Raw genomic sequence first — 8,043 nt, 5'->3', positions numbered from 1 at the left:
CAGTGGCACAAATCTGGCTCACTGCAACCATTGCCTCCTGGGTTCAAGCAATTCTCCTGCCTCAGCCTCCCAAGTAGCTGGGTTTCAGGTGCCTGCCATCATGCCCAGCTAATTTTTGTATTTTTGTAGAGACGGGGTTTCACCTTTTTGACCTGACTGGTCTTGAACCCCTGACATCAGGTGATCTACTCACCTTCTCCTTCCAAAGTGCTGGAATTACAGGTATGAGCCACCTCGCCCACCCTTGAATGAATGTATTCTTGACTTCTACCCTATCCCTAACACTGTCAATTTCTTGCTTCACGAACTGAATACAGATATGTGATATGAATGGATATCTGACTCAATCCATTAATCTGGGGAAAGCCAAAAACCCAATCAGGATTAACTGGGTGGAGCTTCACAAATGCAATCAGATATTGCTTTTTGATTGGAAGCTAGCAGTGCATACGTGGAGGGGCGTGGGTGGGAGTTGTGATTAGAAAGGTCAGTAAAAGCTTCTAAGGACCCACAGGAGAGACCCAAAGTCTTCAAGCCTGGAGTTCCTGCTTGGTTCTTCCTGAGATCTGAGAACCTTCTAGACTACATCCAGATCTGGTAAGTCACTAATTTCTGTAAGGACACTCCCATCTGACCTACAGTCAGTCGGTCTGGGATGGTGACAGTGCAGCCTACGATGGCACAGAGCTATATCCTGTCCTTTTTTTTTTTTTTTTATATGAACAATTGGAAGCTTTGAATTTTTTCCTCTAAAGGCAGTTCTGTCTTTATTTCAAAAAAGTTGATTGTGCTTTGGTTGATGCCATTTTAAAATTCTTGAAGGGAGCAGTGACTCATGCCTTTAACCCCAACACTTCGGGAGGCCAAAGTGGGAGGATCATTTCAGCCCAGGGATTTGAGACCAACCTGGACAACATGACAAAAACCCTCCTCTGCACAACGTTTTTTTTTTGAGGGTGGGGATGGAGTCTCACTGTGTTGCCCAGACTGGAGTGCAGTGGCATGATCTCAACTCCCTGCAACCTTTACTTCCCGGGTTCAAGCAATTCTCATGCCTCAGTCTCCATCCTCAGAAGCTGGTGTCACAGACATCTGAAACCATGCCTGGCTAACTTTTGTATTTTTAGTAGAGGTGGGGTTTCACCACGCTGGCCAGGTTGGTCTCGAACACCTGACCTCAAGTGATCCACCTGCCTTGGCCTCCCAAAGTGCTGGGATTACAGCTGTGAGTCACCATGCATCTGTAGTCCCAGCTATTTGGGTGGCTGGTGTGGGAGAATCACTTGAGCCCAGAAGATTGAGGCTGCAGTGAGCCATGCTCACACCACTACTGTACTCCAGCCTGGGCAAAAGAGAGACACTCTGTCCAAAAACAAAAACAAAATCAATCAAAAAGGATCTTTGACCTTAATTTTAAACCAATCACATCCTCTTCCACCCAAATGGAGGCATGGCTGTGGGGGGTGCATGCCTGTAGTCCCAGCTATGTGGAAGGCTGAAGCATGAGAATTGCTTGAATCTTGGAGGCGGAGGTAACAGTGAGCCATGATGGTGCCACTGCACTCCAGCCTGGGCGACGAAGTGAGACTCAGCTCCCTCAGCACCAAAAACAATTATATGACCCAGGTGATCATCGGATACATGAAGATTTCTATTGTGTTTTCTTAGGGACTGTCATCTCTGTCTTTGAAAACTGTTTTAACTCTGAAATATTTTGATAAATTTGATGTGGCCAAGGATCCCTCAACAAAGATACTTTCAAGTTTTCTTTCTTTCTGTCTAATATCAGGAAGAGATTCAACCCTTCCCTGTCTCACACTCAGGACTTTGAAGGACACATATTAGTAAAACTCCATGTTTGTGAAGGGAATCAGTGAATGAGTCCTGGACTTTCACCCTATCCCTAAATCTTTCATTTTGATGGATCAATATCTAATTCGATCAGTTAATCTTTAAGAAAGCCAAAAATCCAATAAGGATTAACTGGGTAGAGATTAAGAAGTCTAGTCAAATGTAGCTCTCTCTGTCTCTCTGTTCAATCTAGCCTATTTCCCAGGCTGGAGTGGAGTGGTATAATGTCAGCTCACTGCAACTTCTGCCTCCTGGGTTCAAGTGATCCTCCTACCTCAGCCTCCCTAGTAGCTTGGACTACAGGCGCAGACCACTGCACCTGGCTAATTTTTGCTGTCTTAGTAGAGTCAGGGTTTTACCATGTTGGCCAGGCTCGTCTTGAATTCCTGATCTCAGATGATCCACCTGCCTCGGCCTCACAAAATGCTCAGATTACAGGTGTGAGTCACTGCACCCAGCCAAAGTGGTTCAGTTTGAACATGTGTAACAAGTGTGCATTGGAAACATCTATCTTGAGAATGATGCATAACAGTGTCACATAGCTTTCAAAGCTTCTCACTGAAATTTTCAATAATGAGGCTGGGGTGGAGGCTCACACCTATAATCCCAGTATGTTGGGAGGCCAAGAGGGGTAGATTGCTTGAGACTAGGAGTTCAAGACCAGCTTGGACAACATAGCGAAATCCACTGTCTTTACAAAAAGTCAAAAAATAAAAGATGAGCTGGGTGTGGTGATGCATAACTGTGGTCCGAGCTACTTGGGAGGCTGAGGAGGAAGAATCCTTTGAGCTGGGAGGTCAAGGCTGCACTGAGCTGAGATCCCACCACTACACTCCAGGCTGGGTGACACAGCAAGACTCTGTCAGAAAGAGTGAGAGAGGGAGAGAGAGAAAGAGAGAGAGAATGAGAGAAGGGAGGCAGGGAAAGAAGACAAGAAAGAAAAAAGGGAGAGAGAGGGGGAAAGAAAGAAAGAAGGGAGGGAGAGAGGGAAAGAAGGAAAGAAGAAAGAGAGAGAAAGAGAAAGCAAGCTTAAATAATGAAAAGAAAACAAATAGAACCTGTTCTAGGGATGCCCCATGAATGTTCCCAACAAGCTTATTTGTAGGAACTGAAAATGTGGGCATGTAGGCTTGTGACATTCCCATTCCCATTGTTTTAGAACCTTGAGTAATTAGTAGTTTCCCCCAATGGTAGGAGGGGTTCACTTTCAGGTTCCTCCACACTCACTAGTCACTGGATGGAGCACTGGATAGAAAGGAAGGGCTCGTGGTGGCCCTGCTTCCTCACTGCTTCGGAGACGCTCATGCTGATGCAGCAGAGGCAGAATGCTGGCTTAATGGCCACTGAGTACAGAGTAGAATTGGAGTAAACTGAGGACTCTTTCACCATTGCCAGAGCAGTGAGTTTGGCCATAGGAGAGGATGAGATTGCATGGGCTTGGCCCGAGAGAGATGCCTTTTCTCTGGGTTTGTCCTCTGGAAGTTTTCCCTGCAGATTCATGAAGATGAGCATCTGGACTCCACCCAGACTCCTGGAGCTTGCAGGGCGGAGCCTGCTAAGGGACCAAGCTTTGGCCATGTCCACCCTGGAGGAGCTGCCCACAGAACTTTTCCCCCCACTGTTCATGGAGGCCTTCAGCAGGAGACGCTGTGAGGCCCTGAAGCTGATGGTGCAGTCCTGGCCCTTCCGCCGCCTCCCTCTGAGGCCTCTGATAAAGATGCCTTGTCTGGAGGCCTTCCAAGCTGTGCTCGATGGGCTGGATGCACTGCTTAACCTAGGGGTTCGTCCCAGGTGAGGTGGCCCAGGTGGGCTGGTGGGGAGGGCCCAGGTGTCCAACTGAAGGAACAGCTGGGTCGTGAGAAGTGAGGAGGCCCAAGGGGGATGGTGGTGGTGAGGAAGCCGAGAGGACTTGGCCATTCACCAGCTCCTCAGGGAAAGCACTGCTCACCACGCAAGGTCCATGGAGGTAACAGGAACCTCTCCTCTAATGGCACTGAAAGGCACCATGAAAAGTGAGAACTGGGCCGGGCACGGTGGCTCACAATGTATTCCCAGCACATTGGGAGGCTGAGGTCAAGAGTTGGAGGCCAGCCTGTCCAACATGGTAAACCCCAACTCTACTAAAAATACTAAAATTAGCTGGGCATGGTGGTGGGCTCCTGTAATCCCAGCTACTTGTGAGGTTGAGGCAGGAGAATCATTTGAATCTGGGAAGCAGAGGTTGCAGTGAGGTGACATCACACCACTGCACTCTAGCCTGGGCGACACAGGGAGACTTGGTCTCAAAAAAAAAACAAAACAATGTGGAAGTGGGCAGGATCCAAGGGGAAAACAGAGTGAAGAAAAGTCAGAGAGAGGGACAAGAAGCAGGGAGGGGAGGAGCTGCTATCCAGGATGTGGAGTTTAAGTTCAGAAATGAGTTCTGAAATTCTCAGTCTCACCTCTATTTTCCCACAGGAGGTGGAAACTTCAAGTGCTGGATTTACAGGATGTCTGTGAGAACTTCTGGATGGTTTGGTCTGAAGCTATGGCCCATGGGTGCTTCCTCAATGCCAAGAGGAACAAAAAACCAGTGGAGGACTGTCCAAGGATGAAAGGACGGCAGCCCTTGACTGTGTTCGTAGAACTTTGGCTCAAGAACAGGACTCTGGATGAATACCTCACCTGCCTCCTTCTATGGGTCAAGCAGAGGAAAGATTTACTACACCTGTGCTGTAAGAAGCTGAAAATTTTGGGAATGCCCTTCCGCAATATCAGAAGCATCCTGAAAATGGTGAACCTAGACTGTATCCAGGAGGTGGAAGTGAATTGCAAGTGGGTACTGCCCATCCTGACACAGTTTACCCCATACCTGGGCCACATGAGGAATCTTCAGAAACTCATTCTCTCCCACATGGATGTCTCTCGCTACGTTTCCCCAGAGCAGAAGAAGGAGATTGTTACCCAGTTCACCACTCAGTTCCTCAAGCTGCGCTGCCTCCAAAAGCTTTATATGAACTCTGTTTCTTTCCTCGAAGGCCACCTGGACCAGCTGCTCAGGTGAGGGAGGGTGGTGAGCTTTCTCTGCAGACCACAGCAGAGCCTGTTACAGTAAACACTAGTGGGCATCTACTGTGAGCCAGCCTATGAGGATGAAACAGTGAAGGGGACACTAGAATGTCCATGCATTGTCCTGTGGGCGGCCCTGTCCTGAAATGGGTATCATGCAACCCTCCCAATAGAGGCAGAGGGATCAGCTAGGGGAGATGCTATGGAGAGGCTGCCATGCTAGGAAGTCAGCTACTGGGGGGTTCAGATCTAGTGAGGGTGCCTTTCTGAATTCTTCCTGAGGACGTGTGTCTAAGTTAAGATGATGAAAAATACGCCAGGGGCGGTGGCTCATGCCTGTAATCCTATCACTTTGGGAGTCTGAGGCAAGAGGATAGCTTGAGCCTAGGAGTTTAAGACCAGTCTGGCTAACATACCAAGACCCCTGTCAGAAATGAATAAACAAAAGTAAAAACAAACAAGATAACTTTTTTTTTCTGAGATGGAGTTTCTCTTTGATCGTCTAGGCTACAGTGCAGTTGTGACATCTCAGCTCGCAGCAACTTCTGCCTCCCAGGTTCATGCGATTCTCCTGCCTCAGCCTCCTGAGTGCCTGGGATTACAGGCGTGAGCCACCACACCTGGCTAATTTTTATATTTTAAGTAGAGACAGGGTTTCACCATGTTGGCCAGGTTATTCTCCAACTCCTGACTTCAGGTGATCCACCCACCATGGACTCCCAAAGTGCTGGGATTATAGGCGAGAGCTACCACGCCCAGCCAACAAGATAATTTTTAAGAAGATGATGTGAAGTAGGGAAGTGAAGTGGGCACTGAAGAGGGGAATGTTCAGCAAACCTGCACTTGTCAGAAAATCAGCTTTGTGCCCCACAGTTTGGTGAACATGAATGATCCCATCTCTAATTCCCTGTTGTAAAAGTTTCTTTTGAGCTCCAGGTAAATTAATTATCTAGGCAATGCATGATTCTGAAACAGAGGGTCAGGGTGCAGGCACAAAGAATGGTGAAAGTGATAGATGGTTTGCTGATGATACAGGCATGTCAGGGACGCCTGCAGCCCGCCCACCGTAGCTGATGTTGCAGGATCCTGTCTGGGTTTGTCCTTTATGCCTGAATCTCCACTGGGCTCCTGTGGCCCAGGGATGTGGTTTTCTGCCTGACAGATGAGGAAAGGGAGCTTTAGGGATTCTGTGAACTTGATCCATTCCTATAAATGATGGTGAAGTGACTCAGCCTCAAATGGAATTATTTTTTCTCCTTTTTTTTTTTTAATACAGAGTCTCTCTCTGTCACCCAGGCTGGAGTGTAGTGGCATGATCTCTGCTCACTGCAACCTACACCTCCTGGGTTCAAGCGATTCTTCTGCCTCAGCTTCCCAAGTAGCTGGAATTGCAGGCTCCCCCCACCACACCTGGCTAATTTTTGGATTTTTAGTAGAGAGGAGGTTTTGCCATGTTCAGCAGGCTGGTCTCAAACTCCTGATCTCAAGGAATCCACCAGTCTCAGCCTCCCAAAGTGCTGGGATTACAGGTGTGAGTTACTGGGCCGGGTCTAAAGTGGAATTGACCTCGGTGGCAAAGCTCTTCATCACACATCATCCTAAGTGTTGACCATCAGGCCATCAGAATGACCCTGGACTTGGGCAAAAAGGTCTCCATCCATTACCTTGAAGCCATTCCCCACCACCCTCCACTCACCCCTATGATTCCCCAGAATTAACTTCTTGCTCTCTCTCCCCAGCTGTCTGAAGACCTCGTTAAAGTTCCTCACAATAACTAACTGTGTGCTTTTGGAATCAGACTTGAAGCATCTATCCCAGTGCCCGAGTATCAGTCAACTAAAGACCCTGGACCTGAGTGGCATCAGACTGACCAATTACAGTCTTGTGCCTCTCCAAATTCTCCTAGAAAAAGTTGCAGCCACCCTTGAGTACCTGGATTTAGATGACTGTGGCATCATAGACTCCCAAGTCAACGCCATCTTGCCTGCCCTGAGCCGCTGCTTTGAGCTCAACACCTTCAGCTTCTGTGGAAATCCCATCTGCATGGCCACCCTGGAGAACCTGCTGAGCCACACAATCATACTCAAAAACTTATGCGTGGAGCTGTATCCTGCCCCCCGGGAGAGTTATGGTGCTGATGGTACTCTCTGCTGGAGCAGATTTGCTCAAATTAGGGCTGAGCTGATGAACAGAGTGAGGGACTTAAGGCACCCCAAGAGGATCTTGTTCTGTACTGACTACTGCCCTGACTGTGGCAACAGGTCATTTTATGACCTGGAGGCAGATCAATACTGCTGTTGAATGCCTGCCTATTTGGATGGGTATGTCAAACGCTTTCTTCTGGACACTTGGAAACTAAAACCTAGGTCTTAGGTACATCCTAAAGGGAGCACAGAACCCATCATTTCACACATAGGCTCTGAAAGTGGGAAAGGAAAGCTGATCAAGCAGGGGCCGGACTTGGGGGAAATGTTGCCATGGATTCGATGGGACTTTGGGGACCTGTGTCCTGTAGAGTCGAAAATGGGAATCTGAATGTCTAGAGTGGAATTCAGGCTTGAGAATACATGAGGGAGTTACTCTTGCATGGATGGTTGTAAAGAAACAATCAGAAATAAAGGAAAACTGAGCAGAATCTGTCTGGTGCCCTCTATTATTAAGTAACCTGTTTTCCAGTTTAAGCCTCAGGAATCTTCAGTTATTGATGGAAAAAACAAAAGGCACTGACTGAGTTGTCCAATCAATAAGATGCAGCCCAAGAAAATCAAGGCATTTAAATGAAATTTGGTTATTGTAATCAGTTTCCTCCCATTCTTTTATTGGAGACAGAGTTTCACTCTTGTTGCCCAGGCTGGAGTTTAGAGTGCAATGGTGCCATCTGAGCTGACTGCAACCTCCACCTGGGGTTTAAATGATTCTTCTGCCTCAGCCTCCCAAGTAGCTGGGATTACAAGCATGCACCACCATGCCCAGCTAATTTGTGTATGTTTAGTAGAGACAGGGTTTCCTCACTATGTTGGTCAGGCTGGTCTCAAACTCCTGACTTTGGGTGATTCATGCAAGTAGGCCTACCAAAGTGCTGGGGTTACAGGTGTGAGCCACTGTGTCAGGCTTTTTTGTTTGTTTGTTTTTTAAAGGTCTCCT

The 8,043-nt window shown here is 47.8% G+C and overlaps 1 protein-coding gene across 1 annotated transcript; it reads left to right on the top strand.

Moving 5' to 3' along the window:
* Positions 1 to 542: 542 nt before the first annotated feature.
* PRAMEF4 (PRAME family member 4) lies at positions 543 to 7,532 on the top strand. The gene is made up of 4 exons (NM_001009611.4): positions 543 to 597; positions 3,334 to 3,642; positions 4,309 to 4,890; positions 6,639 to 7,532. The coding sequence occupies exons 2-4, from the start codon at positions 3,350 to 3,352 to the stop codon at positions 7,198 to 7,200; spliced, it is 1,437 nt and encodes a 478-aa protein (NP_001009611.2). The 5' UTR covers positions 543 to 597; positions 3,334 to 3,349; the 3' UTR covers positions 7,201 to 7,532.
* Positions 7,533 to 8,043: the final 511 nt, after the last annotated feature.

The sequence above is a fragment of the Homo sapiens genome, chromosome 1 (assembly GCF_000001405.40).
Source record: "Homo sapiens chromosome 1, GRCh38.p14 Primary Assembly".
In the NCBI taxonomy this organism is placed as follows: Eukaryota; Metazoa; Chordata; class Mammalia; order Primates; family Hominidae; genus Homo; species Homo sapiens.
The sequence above is the reverse complement of the archived record's forward strand: the minus strand, read 5'-3'. Positions and strand labels throughout refer to the sequence as shown.